This window comes from Homo sapiens, chromosome 11 (assembly GCF_000001405.40).
Source record: "Homo sapiens chromosome 11, GRCh38.p14 Primary Assembly".
Taxonomy (NCBI): Eukaryota; Metazoa; Chordata; class Mammalia; order Primates; family Hominidae; genus Homo; species Homo sapiens.
This window is the reverse complement of record NC_000011.10, coordinates 44,684,174-44,702,259: the sequence shown is the minus strand read 5'-3', so window position 1 is coordinate 44,702,259 and position 18,086 is coordinate 44,684,174. Positions and strand designations below refer to the sequence as shown.

Below are 18,086 nucleotides of genomic sequence, written 5' to 3'. Positions count from 1 at the left end.
CCAGATGAACTTATTGAGCACCTAGTGTATGCCAGGCACTGTTCTGGGTGCTGAAGAATTATCAGCTACCTCAGGTAGCAGGGGAAATGGATGTGAGTATGAAATTGTCGTTGTCATAAGTATCATAGAAAGAGAAGACCAGGGCTGTGGGAGGCCATGGGCCATGTTCCTTACACTGGATTTTGTGGGGGTGTTTGAGAAGGCTTCCCGGAGAATGTTGTTTCTAAGCTGGGACCTGAAGAATGAGTCAGGAAGGTGAAGAGGAAAGGTAGATGCAGTGGAAAGAAGGAGAAGAGGAAAGGTAGATGTGGTGGGCAGAAGGAACAGAGAATGGAAGGCTCAGAGGCAGGGAGGCAGGAGGAGTAGATGGATGGATGAGTGGGTGGGGGAACGAAGGTTTGGATGGATTCGGGGAGGACTGATCCAATGGGCAGGTGGGTCATTGCACAACCTGCTTGGCCAACTGCAGGGTCAGAGCAGCAGGCAGAGGGGAGGGTCCTGGGTCATGTCCTTGTCCTCTGTGTGGCCCTTTGATCATCTCCCAGGCAGACACTGATGACCCCTGTCCACCCCCTCAGCCACACAGCCCAGACCCTCTGGCCTCAGCCCCTTCTGATCCTCTCCTGGGGGTCCTGGAGATAGGGTTATTTGTAGATGATAACCTCCCTGCCCCACATCCCCTACCCCCCGACTCAGACACTTGCCTTTCTCTGGCCACTTCCTTCTATTCTTCTGCCCTGTGTGTGGAGGGGGAGGCAGCAGCCCTGGCTCCAGAGAAGCCTGCCCCTCCTTTCTTTCCTCCTTATCTCTCTCCTGGCCATGTTTCCTGCCCAAGGAGACAGAAATAAAAACGCAGGCCCTCCTGCAAGTGTTAGTGATTCTGGGAGCAGGGCTGTCAGGGTCTCCAGGGCAGGGGCCCCCATTCAGCCTGTTCCCATTGCCAGTGTGAGATGCCCAGATGTGGGGCACCCAGGCCTGGGATGCCCAGGCATGGAGTATCCAGGTATGTTGAATGCCCAGGCATGGGGCATCTACATGTGGGGTATCCAGGTGTAGGGGCTCCAGGTGTAGGGCTGGGGTGGAGATGATGGCGTATGGCATGGCTAAGAGCATGAGATTTGTCTGTGCCTGGCTCTGCATCCCTGGATGAGCCACAGTCTCCCTCAGTCTTGGTTTTCCCATCTGTGAAATAGGGCCCGTGGCAATGCACATCTCCCAGGGCTAGTGTGGGAATTAAGGGAGACGCTGGAAGTCACAACATGACTGAGGAGGTTTCACTTCTTTTATTAAGGCCAGACAGTTCCTTGAGGAGCGCTGTAGGGAGAGAAAGAGGGTGCTGGCCAGGCCTGCAGGACCTCTTGCAGGGCAGGGTGGGGGTGGGCTGGAGGGTGCATCTCCAACCTGCTGAGCTCAGGTCTGGCGCTCCCTCCCCTGGGCCTGGGGATTGCTGGGGAACACATGCCTCTGGCATCCTGCCTCTGGCTTCCAGGAAGGACTCGGCTCCAGGCTGCCTCCTCCTCCCTCCACTCCCACCCCTAACAGCCCCAGCATACACACACACACACACACACACACACACACACACACACAGCAGAGATGGAAGGATCTCCCTCCTACCATCCTCTTACAGAGAGTGGGGGAAAGGTCCACGGAGACCCCCAATCTCTACCCCTGGCTTGCACTAGGAGCCTGACATACCCCTTCCTAGCTAGGTGGCTCAGAGAGGACTAATGACCTTCTCGATTACTTTACAGAAGACCAGGAAGACTGGCATCAAAGGAGAGAGACTCAAATAGGGGGTTTCAGGCAGCAGGGGCATTTCTGAGTACTCACTGAGCATTTCTCCCTTGATGTCCTTCTCTCTCAATTTATTCATTCAACAAATGTTTTCAAGCAGGTACTATGTGCCACACACAGTGTGGCTACGGAAGAGACCAAAAATAGGACAGATCCTGGCTCTATTTTAGGAAACAGAAAACTAGCAGGTCAAGTTACCAATGATGGCTGTTGCAACAGGAATAAGTAGAGAGCTTGGATGGGAAATAAGGAGGTGACAGCTACTGTAGACAGGGAGGTCAGGCAGGCTCTCTCAAGAGGGGACATTTAGCAGGAGCCCCAGCCATACTTAAAGCCGAGGGTGACTGTTCCGGGCAGACGAAGTAGCAGTGGAGATGCAGTGTTGGGGAAAGAGTTCAGATTCAAAATGTCTTCACCCAGATCCCAGGTCTGCTTGAATTTGTTTCTCCTCCAGCCGTTACCTGTTTTCCAAGGTCATTCGAGGCTCCTCCTCACCCTGGACCCACAGCCTGTTTGTTGTGAGGCTGCTAATTCTGCCTCTGAAAGGGCTCTGCTGTCTTGCTCCCACCCACATCCCTGGCCTGGATTGTGGAGACGCACGCTCACTGGAGGCACACCCTTGCCTCACCCTCCCAGTTCACTCTCCTCCCTGCTCCCAGGGATTGTTCTAAAACCAACACCTTCATGGAGCTACTCCGCTCAAAAACCTCCCATGGCTCCCCATTGCCTACCCAGCCCAACCACACTGCTTGACCGTGCCTCTCTGGTTTCACAATCACAGCACAGCCTGCTTGTCCAGACCTATGTCCCCACCACCACCCCCTGCCTCTCACAGACCCTGAACCTTTCATGCTGCCTTGTCCTCCATGCCTTTGCTCATGCAGTTCCCCCGCCTGGAATGCCATTCCCTCGCTCCTCCACCATCTCTACCCCAGGCTTAGCTGTGGTGCTCTTGCTCTCTGCTCACTCCTCTGCTGCATATCCCAGCATGCCATATGTTCCTCTGTCTGAATCTGCGCCATGCTGTATAGACAGGGGGGTCTATGCATTGGCAACCCCCAGCTGGGATGCCTTTCTCATATTTGGGTCCCCAGTGCCACTGCAGGCCCAATGGACACGCGGGAAGGAAGTATAGCAGACTGCGTGGACTTAAGACAACTTCCGGTGAGGGTCCTGGCTCAGCCATTTCACCTCATCTGTAAAAAGGGGATAATGTTAGTACCTCTTATATCAGATTGTTGAGATGATTAAACGACACATTCAGTTGAGTGGCACTGCCCCCAGGGATGATTTGGAAATGAATGGGGGGCATTTTCGATTGTCACAAAGATAAGGTCAGGTGGGGAGTACCACTAAACTGAGCAGGTGGTGGGTCTGGGAAGGCAGGTGATTAGTTAAGAGGGAGATGGTCTTTGGGAGGCCGAGGTGGGTGGATCACCTGAGGTCAGGAGTTTGAGACCAGCCTGGCCAACATGGTGAAACCCCCGTCTCTACGAAAAACACAAAAATTAGCCTGGCATGTTGGCACGCACCTGTAGTCCCAGCTACTCAGGAGGCAGAGAATCGCTTGAACCCAGGAGGCAGATCATCGCTTGAACCCAGGAGGCGGAGGTTGCAGTGAGCTGAGATCGCACCACTGCACTCCAGTCTGGGTGAGTGAGACTGTCTCAAAAAAAAAAAAAAAAGTGGGATCATGCAGCCCAGTGAGGAACTGTCCCCACAAGCCACGTGACTTTCACACGCCCTGCTGGACATTCATGTAGGGAAGAAAATATGTTTATCATTATGTGAGTCTAGACTTTAGCTCTGCTTTACATGTAAATATAAAGCATTTTTCCACACTTTGAATATATACTGAATTTTCAAGGATGCAACTAAAGACAAAAACAAGAGAAGAGAACTCTATATTTAGTTTTATTCAGAACATGCCAAGAACTGCTCACAATTTTGGAAACGTGCATCTGACAGTGACATGATTAGAACGTTGGCTTCTCGGCTCAGTGCCCCACGTTCCTGTACATCTGTAGCTGTCCCCTTGATGGTGGTCCTGCGCAGGCTGCAAGCCCCTGACTGCTTCCTATGTCTTCCAGAGCAGCTGGGCCTGAGTGCTTACTTGTTCAAGTACAGTTTTTATTTTACGGGACATTCTTTATATTTCCTATTTATGTTACAGATAGGACATTGTATATGGTTATTTTTAAAAATCGTGCCTGTAGGTAGGTTACAACATCCATGGGGTTTATTTCAGAATATTAATGGGAATGTTATGCACCATCCACATAGAAAGAAGGTGTCAGGCATGTGAGGATCTGGAAGCAGGGTTGCAGAGTATTTATGAAGTGGTGAGAATTTAGACACTATTGCTAGGGACTTAACACACATTTGATGGGTGAGTGAATGAATGGATACAGGTTGGTGAAAGAAGCTCTCTAATGCCCCTTTTATTACCACTCACAGGTGAGCTAATGCTTGGGACTGCCTGGAACTATCTGCTCCCGGTTCTAGGACCTTCTATGAAGCGAGCTAAGCACAAGCCTTTCTTGGCTCCAGCAGCCAGTTGGCTTCTTGCTGGGTTGGGAAGCTGCTCAGGGCAACTTCATCCCTGCTTTGGAGGCCCACCTGGATATGAAGGCCCAGCCAGGATTAGATCCAGGCGGCTCTGGGATTTTTGCAACATTCGATAATAGGAGTGGAATTCCCGCCCAGGCCTGGTCAGGAGTGAGAGGAAGGGACAGTGTGATTCTAGGTGTCATATTCCTGCCTGCTGGGAATCAAAATCATCACATTTGCTTCAAGTTTATTTCATTTACATATTTTCTCGTTATAAGTAATACATGCTTGCTGCCCAAAGAACTCTAATTGGAGTAGGCGTGTGGACTTCTCTGTTCCATCTCCTGTTTCTTACTAACATAGAGAGCAAGTGCTTTCTTTGAACTGTTACTGATTTATAAATGACTTACCGTCATTTATTTGTTTTCAATTTGTTAAAAACTTTTCTCATGGAACGAACCTATGCATATGGTTAAAAAATAATAAAAAGTAAGTTTCTCTGTTCTCCTAAACACTCCAAGTTTGTTTTTCATTGTTATTTATTTAAAAAAAATTTTTAAGTGACAGGGTCTTGCCATGTTGTCCAGGCTGGACTTGAATTCCTGGGCTCAAGCAGTCCTCCTCCCACCTCAGCCTCCCAGGTAGCTGGGACCTCAGGCACGCATCACTGTGCCCAGCTTGTGTGTTTTTTTTTTTTTTTTTCACACTAAATCATAGAAAATACATTTCTGGCTGAGCTTGGTGGCTCACGCCTGTAGTCCCAGCATTTTGGGAGGCCGAGGCAGGAGGATTGCCTGAGCCCAGGAGTTTGAAACCTGCCTGGGCAACATCAAAAGACCTTGTCTCTAAAAAAAAAAAATACAAAAATTAGCCAGGCATGGTAGCACTCGCCTGTAGTCCCAGCTACTCGAGAGGCTGAGATGAGAGTATTGCTTGAGCCCAGGAGGTTGAGGCTGCAGTGAGCTATGATCATGCTACTACACTCCAACCTGGGTGACAGAGAGGGACCTTGTCTCAAAATCAATCAATCAATTAATTTAAAAAATACATTTCTGTTTCTTCATTTATCCACTCTAGGCACTGTCTACTAGTGACTCTCCATAAAAGGTGAGGAAATTAACAATCAGTCCCGAATGTTTGTTGACTATGTGATTTTATTTCATATTGGGAAGATTAACAACATTTACATTCTATTTTATTTCTATAACTATGATTGGTTGTCCAAAGTGACAGCTAATAACCAGCATTTTTGGTAACAGTGAATACTTACAAAGTCCTTAGCCATATCCTGGTGTTGTTCAGAGCACTTCACTCAGAGGCTAACTTGTTTAATCTTCACAACAACTCCAGGAGACAGCAACTGTTATTAACCCCATTATGTAGATGAGGAAACTGAGACATGGAAAAGTTAAGGAATTTGCTCAAGAAAGCTCAGCTTATACATGGCAGAGTGGGGACTGGAACCTCGGCCGGTCCCAGGGTCTGCGTTCTTAATCACCACATTGTACTACCTCTCTGGGACTATTTCAATATTACATTTTTCTGAAGCATGGCCGCACCCCTTAGATGACTTGAGCCTCTCTTCTTCCCGTGTTGCAGGTGGAGAAACATGGGGCTAAATGATGATCTTGAAAAGGGCCCTCACTCGTGAGCCTTCGCCATGTGCCAGTCACTATGCTGAGCACCTTGCAGGTGAGAACGTGATTAACCTCACGGTAAGCTCCCACGTGGGGCCCATTGCCATCCTCTTTTGCGGACGAGGTCACCGAGGGACACAGACTTTAAGTAATCAGAAGGGGAGAAGCCGGGTCTCACACCTGGGTTCATCTGGCTTCATGGAGCAGGCCCTGAATTAGGAGTCAGGCTATGAGCCATCACTCACTGTAGGCCCTGGGACAGGGAATCTAACCTGTCTGGGCTCTGGGTTCCCCAACGTAAGGGTTAAGCCAGTCCCACAGGGCCACCTGGCTCTAGGACTCTACGGCTCTGCTTGACCCCGCTTTGCTGGGTAAACACATGCCAGTCTCTCACTAGCCAGCCTTGGAAGCTTCAGCTCTGAGAGGGGGATAATAATGACCCTCCACATAAAACCATGGGAAGACTAAATGAGATGACCTGGGTCATGCCCTGAGGACATGATAATAATGAGGAGGAGGAGCAGGAGGAGTCAAACAGCAGGACCCTGTCCACCCCAGCCTGCTGCCCTGCCCTCTACGAGTCCCCCAGAGACAGCCTCCTTTCCCCACTCCTTCAGCTGAGGTGGGGCTGGAGATTCCAGCCTGTGGCTCCAGACCGTGGGAGGAAGTGAGAATGTCCTTTCTCATCAACTCTTGTTCTTCCAGGAGCTTCAGGTCCAGGCCTTGGGGGTCAGCAGGGCAAGCCTGAGCCCTGTGGTGCTGTGGGAAGACTTGGTTCAAGTGACACTGAGCCTGGGACAAAGTGCGGTTGATGGCTCTTGTTTTCCCTGGCCCTTCAGATTGCCTTTGGGAAACCACCCAACCCTCACTCCCCTCCACCCACGTGCATTGCATGGGGCTAATTCTACCCCAGGCCCTGACTCCAAGTATGATCACCTGATCCAGACCTGGCCAATCAGCCTGTTCTGTCCCCCAGGCCACAGTGATTTGTTTAGGGATGATCATGTGACCTACAGAAAGCTTCAGGATAGTGGCTTCCTTGGGTAGGGGAGGCTGATGGTCAGACAGGGAAGAAGCCCACAGACAGATGCAAGTGCTGGTTAATGTTCTGATTCTTGTGTTGGATGACCAGGTCTTGGGTGTTTATTTATATAAATAAACAGAGGAGAACCGTTTATGAACCTATGGCAAGAGGATGGCGTGAATAAGGGATCATGATTAATAGAATTCAGAGACAAAGGGAGAGAAAACAAACAAAAAACACCTCTGGAACTTGTTGGAGCTCTTGGAAAAGAAAAGCTGTGAGTGGATGTTCAAGAGGGTAACCTAGGGCCTCATGCATTGGGGCATTCAGAAGTTTCGTACTGGATCAAAAACAACGAATGAAGCCTGCAGTGCAGAGAAAACATTGTGATATGAGGGTAAGTAGGAAACACATCTAGACAGCAGCCCTGGCCCTAGGTCACACTGCAACACTGTAAGCATTATATCCCAGTGGGGACAAGGACTGAGGGGTCAGGGAGAACGAGGACAGTTAATTTACAGAGAAGCCCAGCTGGTGGGGGATTGTGATTTGGTTTCGTTTTCCATTAACGTGGTTTGTGCGGCGCAGGTATGCAAAGGCGGCCCCACGTGAGTGAAGCACGCACCGTGTGCACCACTCAGCATCGTCACACATCCTGACATCCTGACAGGAGTCCTGTGGGCCTTTTGTGATGCCCAATTTATAGACAAGGAAGTCAAGGCCTAGTGCAGCAGAACATGCTGCAGTAGGGCCGGGAATTGAACTCAGATCTGCCCGCCTCTCAGCCTTCCCCTGTGGGAAGCCCTCTCAGGTTGGAGGACTGTGAGGCAACTTCTTTTGCAGGCCCAGCACATGCTGTGGAGCTGGTGCAGACACCTGGTTTCTGCATCTTGGGATCTCACACCCTCAGGCTGGGGGAAGCAGGGGAGGAGGCTGGTAGGTTGTGGGGGAAAAGATTTTAACTCTTTTATATCCCCCCACCTCAGTCTCCACTCAGGCAACCCCATCCCAACGTCTGCCCAGTCCAGGTGAGAGCTTGAGACTTGGCACTGGCTCAGAACCAAGGGCAGACCCTGAACAGGGGCATCCGGGCAGAGCCCCTACCCCCCATGCACTCCCTGCCCTCCCCAGCTCCCAACTCGGGGCCCCTTCCCTAGCCCCCAGCCCAGGGCCTGCTGCAGCTCCCCACTCATCACCTGAAGTGGGATTGACTACCCCCACCCCAAAGAGGGCAGCACGTGCGGCAGCCCTGATGGGAGAAGCAGACGGGCGGCCTGATGGAGCTCTGGAGAGGGAGGTGTTGAGTGAGGTGGGAGGGGATTGAGGCCGGCAGAACTAATGGCATTAACAGGCCCTCAGGGTGGACAGGGCTAAGCTCTCATCCTGGGGCCCTGGAAGCAGATAAAATGTGGGACTAGATGCTGGAACATATGCCCTGTGAGTCCTGCCTTCTTCACTTAAGCCACGCAGTGTCCTTGTGCAGGCAGGGGTTAGCTATGACATTAATAATCATAAAAAGACCAGTGGTCACTGCCATCTGCTGATCCTTATCAGGCACAGTTGTAAGGGCTGCTCCTGCCTGGTCTCAGGCTTTGCAAGGTCTCTCTGAGGTGGTGATTATGTTGTCCCCATTTTGTCTCAGATACAACCAGAGAGGGTAAGTCATTGGCCCAGTGCCACAAAGCATCTAACCCAGGTCAGAAAGGATCCATAGCCCACCCCTTTAATCTCAATGGCTATGTGACTCTCCAACTTCAGTGTTCATCAGATCATTTGAGGTGCTGGTAAAATGCAGGTTCCTGGGCCCCACCTTTATCCACTGAATTGGGATGCAAGGGGAATGAGACTTTGGAGACCATTTTTTTCAGGCAGAGTCTCACTTTGTCACCCAGACTGGAGCTCACCCAGAGCTCACTGCAACTTCTACCTTCTGGGCTCAAGCGATTCTCCTGCCTCAGCCACCCAAGTAGCTGGGATTACAGGCATGCACCACCATGTCTAGCTAATTTTTGTATTTTTAGTAGAGATGGGGTTTCACCATGTTGGCCAGGCTGGTCTCAAACTCCTGGCCTCAACTGACCCACCCGCCTCGGTCTCCCAAAGTCCTGGGATTACAGATGTGAGCCACCATGCCCGGTCTGGAAGCCATATTTTTGACAAGTGCCCCAGTTGATTCTAGTGATCAGGCATGTTTGGGAACTCCTGCACCAGGCTGTCGAAAGGACTAGTCAGAGAGAGGTGGAAAGCACCCAGTCTGCAGTGTCAGGCTTCTAAGGCTGTGGCTCATGAATAATGGAAGCAGGGGCCCTCCATGACGTCTCAGAAGGGGTGGACAAGAGGCTGCCCCAGGGCTGGTGGAGGTGGAGGACTGTCACCTCCCCACCTTCCCTGTGCCCCTTTTGGCTGCCTGTACAGAGCAGGAGGTCAAAGGCCTTGTCTAAGGACGTGGCAGGAGGGCCTCTCAGGGGCCCAGTCAATCAGTGGGGTATCTGTCAGCCCCTGGGGTGAGGCCGGGTCGGGGAAGATGGCAGACGGACACCCCCCACCCCAGGCCTCTCCCTGGGGCCAGGCAAGAGCTATCCAGCTCATCTTCCCGGGGGCTCCTGCTTCCCCCTTCCCACCCTGCCAGTCCTGCGTTGCCATCACCCGTGACTCCCAGCTGGTCACCTCACCACAGCAACAGTCCTGCTCCCTGGCAAAACAGGCACAGCAGGGGCAGAATCCTGACAGAGTCACCCACATCCACAGTCACAACCACGCTGATGGACAGACGGGGTGCTGTGTGACCCGCACCTAAACAAAGGGGAGACTGAGACCAGAAAGCTAGGCGGGGCCTGCATTGCAGAAGGGCACCCAACTCAAGGGTCAGGTTGAAATCCTGCCCAGCCACGCGCTCTGACATGGGGCTGTGTCTTTAGGGCTGGGGGTGGAAGGGGCCTATTTTTCAGGTGATATAAGAGCACTGGGGTGGGAGGGTCCCGTCTGCAGGAGGAGCCCAGGACTTGCCCAGGGTCCATCCCCTAGTTGCCGAGTGGTACTGGGTCTCCAGACTCCTAGACCCTTTGTTTGGATCAACCAGTCAGTTCAAACTGCTTTAACCCACAGAATGCTTATTTCAAATAATTTCTTTTTGTTTGTTTTTTTGTTTTTGAGGCAGAGTCTTGCTCTGTCACCCAGGCTGAAGTGCAGTTGCACCATCTCAGCTCACTACAACCTCTGCCTCCCAGCTTCAAGCAATTCTCATGCCTCAGCCTCCCGAGTAGGTGCGCGCCACCACAACCAGCTAATTTTTTTGTATTTTTAGTAGATACAGGGTTTCACCATATTGGCCAGGCTGGTTGAACTCCTGACCTCAGGTGATCCGCCCGCCTCGGCCTCCCAAAGTGCTGGGAATACAGGTGTGACCCACTGCACCCGGCCTCAACTAATTTCTTATACAAAGTAATAAATAATAACCCTAGCCAACAATGTTTGAGCATGTCCTATGTGCCAGGCCCTTCTCATGGATAATCTAATTTATGACTAAAAATAATCTTACGAATAGCCATGATTATTGCCATTTTATAGAAACATAAACTAAAGTGTCAATAAAACAGGCAAAAATCATGCTGCCACTGACTCCAGGGGGGCCACCCCCACATCTCCAGACTCCAGGGGTTCCTTGGAGCACAATTTGAAAACCAGTGCACAGCAATCTTCAGCATATTTGTACCAGAATCAGAAAACACGTCAGAACGATGCACCATGTGAAGTTTAATTAGGGATACTTCCTCCTGCAGTTTAAGCAGCTTCCTAGGGTCTTGCCATCCCTACCTCACCACCACCACCGTCGCTTTCCAGTCTTAGTAAAGAATGGAAATGCTCACCTATTATTTCATCTGCCTAGGCTCCAGCCGGACCAGTTTTTCTGGGCTCCTACCTTCTCCCAAGTCGATCTCATGCTTTTAGGAGGGTTGTCCTGCTCTCATATGATCCCACTCCCTAAATCACAGTTTACTGGCCTCTTCAGAATTCTTCCACAGGTTGACTGGAATGGAGGAGTCTTCCCGCCTAGTGATGGGGCTGCTAGACGGGGCTCTGGAGGGTTCACTGGCCATGTCCCCGACCTGTGGAGGACTCAGTCTGTAAGGAGAGGGTATGAGGACAGCCCACAGAAAGAGTAGAGACTCCTGAGGCATGTGATGTCCTGCTTCTGGCCCCTGAGATCCAGCAGCATCCCAATCCTTCTCACCAGCTGTTCGCTTCTTTCTTGTGCTGGCCTAGCTAAGCAAATCCAATTTCTGTTGCTTGCCACCAAAGAAAAGGAGGGGGTGGGGTGTAGGAATAGAAGAACCAAGCTGCTTCCCAGGTTGTAGCTGTGTCACTCAGTACAATTTTAGCCGACCACTCAGCAGGCATTCTTGCCTTTCTGTTTTTCCTGGCAGAACCTGCATCTCAGCCAGCCAGGTTTCCTTGCAGGTTCAGAACTGGCATGGCATGAACCTTACTTAGCCAATGAGATGTACGAGGGAGCCTGGTGGTGGGGTGGTAGTTGGGGGTTCCTGGGAAGGTTTTCCTTGTTATTCAAAGGGGACATGAGATAGGGCCTGTGAAGAGATGGATCTTTGTCCCCAGGTATCTGTTTTCCCCTTTTTGCCTCTATAAACAGTATGTATGTATGTATGTATGTATGTATGTATGTATGTATGTATGTATTTATTATTTTTGAGACAGAGTCTCACTCTGTAGTCCAGGCTGGAGTACAGTGGTATAATCTTGGCTCACTGCAACCTCTGCCTCCCAGGTTCCAGCAATTCTCCTGCCTCAGCCTCCTAAGCAGCTGGGATTACAGGCACGCACCGCCATGCCTGCCTAATTTTTGTATTATTTGTAGAGATGGGGTTTCACCCTGTTGGCCAGGCTGGTCTTGAACTCCTGACCTCAGGTGATCCACCCAGCTTGGGCTCCCAAAGTGCTGGGAATATAGGCGTGAGCCAAGGCGCCTGGCCTTAGGAATAGTTTTTAGATGGGCATGTGGCTGCCCAGCCAAAAACTGCATTTTCCAGGCTCCCTTGTAACTAGATGTGGCCATGCAGCCATGTTCTAACCAACAATATGAGTAGAAGCCATGTGTGCAACTACCGTGTGTACCCACAAAAGGAGGGGCATGTTCTCCCCTCCCTTTCCTCCTCCTCCCTGATGAATAGAGTACAGTCATGTGCCACATAAAGATGTTTCGGTCAATAACAGACCTCATGGAAGACAATGGTCCTATGAAATTACAGTACTGTATTTTTACTATACCTTTTCTATGTCTATATGTGTTTGGATACACAAATACTGTGTTACAATTGCCTGCAGTATGCAGAACAGGGACATGCTGTACAGGTTTATAGCCTAGGTGCAATAGGCTATACCATCTAGCCTAGGTGTGTAGCAGGCCGTACCATCTAGGTTTGTGTAAGTACACTCTATGATGTTCAGACAACAATGAAATCTTCTAATGACGCATTTCTTAGAACATGTTCCCATTGCTATGCAACACATGACTGTACTTACATGATGAGCCACCTCCAGCTTTGCAATAAGGGCAACAAGATATGGAAACCTAGTCCTCAATACCACTGGGCTGCCATGTTAAACCTGAACTAGCCTGGGACCGTAAAAGAACAGGAAAATACATTTCTATAGTGCTTAATCCACTGCTATTTTGTGTCTTATTATAGCAACTGGATCAGTGTCTAATCAGGGATTCTTGCCTTCCTGCTTTAGGTCTTGCTGTGATGACTGGAGCTGTGGCAGCCACCTTGTGACCATGAGGGAAAAGCCAAGAGACTAGTTGAGAAGCCAACTGAGAGTTTTACCGCCAACTGAGAGTTTTACCTCCATTGAGCTGCTGGATTTGCCAACTCTAGAACCACTCATTCTGGGTATCTCATTAGGCAAGATAATAAATTTCTCATTATTCAAGCTGTTTTCATTGGTCTTTCTGTTACTCACAGACAAAGCATGACAATTGAAGTACTCAGTGAGGAATGTGGTGAAGTTGCCTGAAGTCACACCCTTGCCAGGAATAGTGGAAGGCTATATGGGCTTTGTGAGCCCACTCCCTCACCAGGGGGCTTTGCCCTTTCCATCCAGGAGGTTCAAATCCAGCCTCAAACCTTTCTAGACAAAATATCTGTCAAAAGAGTATGATAAAACAGAGCATCTCTGTTTATTCCTCAATAAGAGATAGAGAGAGAGATGAGGACACTCTACCTAAGGTGTGTGCTGGAGGAAATGTAACTTCTGTCCTCTAAACAGAAATAAGCACGAGTCTCTCCCGTATCCCTGGCAGCCTCCACCTGGGAGCTTTTATTCCTGCCCATGTTTGCACTTCATGGAACCAGGAGTTCCTGTGGATTAGTCAGGATCTTGACTGGAAACAGAAGTCACATCAACTAGGATTTCGAGGAGGATTTAACAGAGGTATGGATGGAACTAAGGGAACTAACAAGGGATGCCGAGGCACCCAGGAACAAACAACAGCAGGAAGCCATTACTACCCCTAATCTTGAAGGCATTGGGGGAGGGAACAGCGTTAGGGAACCCGGCAAGGACTGGAGTGTGGGAGAGAGGCCATTGCAACACAGCTGCCATTATAGAAAGATGCAGCCAAAACCTTGGTGGAAATACCCCAACCCCTCTCTCCTTCTTCCCTCTGGTTTCCCGCCAGTGTCTCCCATCACCTAAGCCCGACCACAATCAAGAGAGTAAGGGAGCCTGGGGGTGCAATCCTTAGAGGTCAACCTCCTGGGGCAGGGAGGGGCAGAGCATAGATTAGGGCATAGTGAGAGAGAGGAGGGCAAGAGTGTCATATTTGTGCTAAGGTATCTGCTTGCTCCAGAACTTTGGCAGCCCTCATGTTGTGGGGAGATGTGGGTGAGGAAGAGAGAGGGACAAAGGTCCCTCAGCCCTGACAGTCCTGGCAATGGAGAGTCCAGGTTTGGAAGATGCTGCGTGGGCAGCTGGGGCCAGGCTGCCTTGCTGGAACGTGAAAGTGCCCAGAAATGAGGGAGACCAGAGCCAGCCATCCTGCCAGGCAGGCACCAGAGGGACTGTCAGGAAGAGCCCTTGCAAATCAATGGCAAATGATGAAAAATGCAGACAGATAAGTAACTTAAAAAGACCCAGGCTTGCTGGAAGTGGTCTCTGATCTCAGCTCAGCTCCTGGGCAGCCAGGCTCACATGCTCGATTTTTAATCAGGGGCTATTGGGTGAAGACAACTGGGTATTTTTTGGGTTGCTTTGAAAGGAGGCTCTGCCTCTGCCTTCCCTGCTGGGCTGCTTTTGCGCTGGCCCCAGATATGCCCTTCTCCCCAGCCTCAGCATCAGAAAGGTCACTGTCATTTGTGGACATTCTGTCCACAGGTCTGATCTCAGAAAGGTGTGTTCAAGACCCAGCTCTGCCACTTAAGTTATGTATTTTGGGGGCAAGTCACTTAAATCTCTATGAACCTCAGTGGCCTCGTCTGTGAAACGGGGGTAACAATAGTGCCTCTCTTCCTGGGATTTTGATATACAATTCTTAGCACACACAGTTCCTACAGAGAGGAAGTGCTCAGTCAATGTTAAAAGAAACTGAGCTGAAATTCTGGGGAAAACCCAATCCTGGTTCTGCTTTTCCTCTCAACTTTAGTTTCCTCCTCTGTAAAAATATGTGCATTCAACTATGTCCACCTCTCATGGTTAACATGAGGGTCAAGGGAAATGGTGCACGTAGGATGCCCAGCCTACAGTGAGCACTAGATAGTGGTAGCTGTTCTTGTTATTGCTGGTGTTGCTGTTGTTGTTTCATAAGAAGACTGGGATGAAAGAGCAAATAACGAGGTCACTACTGTAGGGTGGAGTCTGGGCTGGGGAGGGAGCTCTTGTAGGCTGGACTCCTACCTATCCCAAGGTCCTTCATCTCTCATTACTGGAGTAAGAAACGACGTGGGGAGACACCCCTCATGGTCACAAAATTGAACCTTGGGCTAGGCAGGGGGTGCTGGTCAGTTCAGCATCATGAATAGAACTGGAGCCTCGGCATCAAACAGGCTACACCTGTCGGCTGTGGAACCCGGGGCAAGTCCTTTCACCTCTCTAAGTCTCAGTTTTCTCATCTGCAGAATTCCTCCCAGCACAGCTGTTAAAGTCCAATGTAAAGGACTTAGGGTCTGGCTCACAATAAAGCCTGATTGTTTTTAAAAATTATTATTTGGACAGACTCAGGGTCCCCAGCACATTGGAGGGAAGGGAACCAAACTGTCTTTCTTGCTTGGATGAGGGAAGAAGACACAAGAGAGGTTGTGGTCAGACCCAGTGAACAGACCCCAGCAATGCCAGGCAGCATGGGCAGGGAGCAGCAGGGGAGCTGGCACCTCAGCCACCACCTTTCTGCCCACTCTCTCCCCTCCAAAGTCCTGATTTTCAAGTTGATACCATACATGTGGGGTCGTCTGAGTTGCCCAATACCTCCTCCAGCCAACTGGACTCTCCTGGGTGTCCGGAGATCATCCCTCTCATTCCCCACCCATCTCATCTGAGTCCTGGCCTGGTGTATGATCAATGCTCAATGAGGGGAGTTGCACACTTGTGCACTGTGTTTCTGTTTACAGACATATCCACGCCCATCATCAACTTTCAATCCTACAGAATGGGTCTTACCAACGCATCTCACTGTTTCAAATGGACCACAGCTGGTGGAATCTAAGAATACCCCCATCACACCTTGGGTGGTGAAGATTCTTCTAAAATTCTAGGTGAAGGCTATTAGGTGTTTGGTTTGGGGGATCTTTTTTGTGTGTACTCCTTACTGCTTTCAGACCATGTGCTGTGCGCTTTACTGCTGTCATTGCATTCAATCCTGATAACGGCTTTGTAAGGTAAGTGTTGCTATTGCCCCCATTTTGCAGGTGTAGAAGGTGAGAGTCCCCATGTAGTTACTCGCTCAGGGTCACACAGCCACGGGAATAGAGCTATGACTAGAGACCAGGTCTTTCTACCCCCAGACCCCACACTCTCAGCCACCATACTCCTCTGCCCACCATTTTCTTCCCCAGTTCTGCAAACCTCTTTCTACGAGGTATCAGTATTGCTCATCCTGGTGGCCTCCTTCCACCTCATCCCCTGTACCCAGGACAAAGTAAGGCAGAAGGGGCAAACATAGGAGGTGATGTAACATGATTGGGGCGGCGCAACTGATAAGTAACAGATCCAGGATTAGAACTGAGGCTGTCGGATCCCAGAGCCTGTGCTCCTAACCAGCACACGCTGTCGCCTCCAATCATATGTAATTAAATTAGCATTTAATGATCTAGAATTACATTTTATGACAGAATATGTACAGTTGATGAAGTTCTGTGTTCATGGTTCTCACACACTGCATTATGATGAAAGGTTCATTCATTATCGTTAAGGGGCCGACAAAACCACATATGTCCAGTGCTTGGGGGACACAGTCCCTGCAGCGTAGGGTGTCACCAAGTGGTTATTGAACTCCTATAGAGCAAGGACTGGGTCTCAGTCGCCTTTTCAGCGGCAGCACCTAACACAGTGCCTGGCACAGTGCTGGTACTTAGAGTAATAAATGAATGGAGGAGTTGGCCCTCCAACCACATTTTCTGATTTCCAGTGCTCTTTCCTTTACATCACAACCTCAAAGCTTTTGAGTTTGGGGAGCACTGATTGGTACCAGGGCACATCTCAGGAGAGGTATGAACTGCCAAGGGGTGGACTGTAGACCGCAAGTTGGCCAAGCATGTGGGCTCTGAACTCAGCTTGCCTGGGTTCAAATTCTGACTCCACTACGTATTACTTAAGGGACTTCAGGCAAGTTACTCAGCCTCCCCCTTCAGCATGAGGAGTGGCCACAGTCCAGGTTTAGGGATAGGAAGTCGCCTCCACCTGGGCAGAAGCAGCTCCATCTCAGACTCCACTGACCGACAAGGCAGACGGGGCACCAGCAGACGGGGCACCTGCAGTCAGCACCTGAATGCCTCTCCTCCCTCAGACTCCCCTTGCGGCCAGCTTTGTACTCCTGCCTGGCCAAACACATAAAGCCTTGTTAATAATGAATAGGCCCCTGTCTGCCTTACTTAACACTGAAGCTCCAGGCAGATGCACAGCCCTTTATAAATGATCCAGTCCAGCTGATTAGGCCCCGTGGGGCGCATTCCTGCAGCCAGCCTCTTGTTCCCCGTAATGGAATCATAATGTTAATGTGATTTCAATTAGGGCTATGTTACAGAACACAGGTGCTGGAGTGAGCCTGCAGGCGGGGAGGCCTCCTCAGGGACTCATTTTCCTGGGAAAGGTACGCGTCTTTCCAAGGCCTCAGGAAAAAGCAAGTCACCCCGGCTGAAGGGAAGACATGAAAGCAGGGACGAGAGGTATCAGAGCCCACACTCCCGGCTCTTCAGGGGCCCCAGACTTGTTTCTTATTCAACTTGAGTAGCAGGCCCCTTTTACAGAGTGTCTTGGGGGCCCCTGAGATCCACAGGTCCCAATTTGAGAAACAACGGCCCAAGAACCAAAATCTTATCCCAGGAAAATGTCTTTCTGTTGCGAATTATCACTGCAACAGAGATGAATAAATGATAGATGGCTTTTTTATTTTTCTTAATAAAAATAGCTCACATGTATGGAGGCTTCACTATGTCCCAGACACAACTTTTAGTACATTATGTGTATGTACAACTCATTCCTCGGATTTCATTATGAAAATGAAAGCACACAAATATTTTTTGGACAATTTTCTTTTTCTTTTTCTTTTTCTTTTCTTTTTTTTTTTTTTTTTTTGTTGAGACAGAGTCTTGTTCTGTTGCCCAGGCTGGAGTGCAGTGGCACAATCTTGGCTCACTGCAAACTCCGCCTCCCAGGTTCAAGTGATTCTCGTGCCTCAGCCTCCCGAGTAGCTGGGATTACAGGTGTGCACCACTATGCCTGGCTAATTTTTTTGTATTTTTAGTGGGGATGGGTTTTCACCATGTTGGTCAGGCTGGTCTCGAACTGCTGGCCTCAAGTGATTTGCCTGCCTTGGCCTCCCAAAGTGCTGGGATTACAGGCATGAGTCA

The 18,086-nt window shown here is 50.0% G+C and overlaps 1 long non-coding RNA gene across 2 annotated transcripts, besides 2 other annotated features; it reads left to right on the top strand.

Annotated features, from left to right (window-relative positions):
• Positions 1-900: 900 nt before the first annotated feature.
• LINC02704 (long intergenic non-protein coding RNA 2704) lies at positions 901-12,957 on the top strand. 2 transcript variants are annotated; one of them, XR_931234.3, is made up of 3 exons: positions 901-1,003; positions 5,947-6,039; positions 12,760-12,957. It is a non-coding gene; the product is annotated as a long intergenic non-protein coding RNA 2704 (long non-coding RNA). The 2 variants fall into 2 exon arrangements; XR_007062658.1 differs by lacking the exons at positions 901-1,003; positions 5,947-6,039 and adding an exon at positions 7,047-7,405.
• Positions 9,630-10,130: an enhancer, noted in NCBI's record as "H3K4me1 hESC enhancer chr11:44713680-44714180 (GRCh37/hg19 assembly coordinates)". NCBI's record gives its function as "activates a minimal SCP1, AML or CMV promoter by ChIP-STARR-seq in primed H9 embryonic stem cells {active_cell/tissue: H9 hESC(primed)}" and the evidence as "EXISTENCE:reporter gene assay evidence [ECO:0000049][PMID:30033119]".
• Positions 12,753-13,286: an enhancer, noted in NCBI's record as "OCT4-NANOG hESC enhancer chr11:44710524-44711057 (GRCh37/hg19 assembly coordinates)". NCBI's record gives its function as "activates a minimal SCP1, AML or CMV promoter by ChIP-STARR-seq in naive H9 embryonic stem cells {active_cell/tissue: H9 hESC(naive)}" and the evidence as "EXISTENCE:reporter gene assay evidence [ECO:0000049][PMID:30033119]".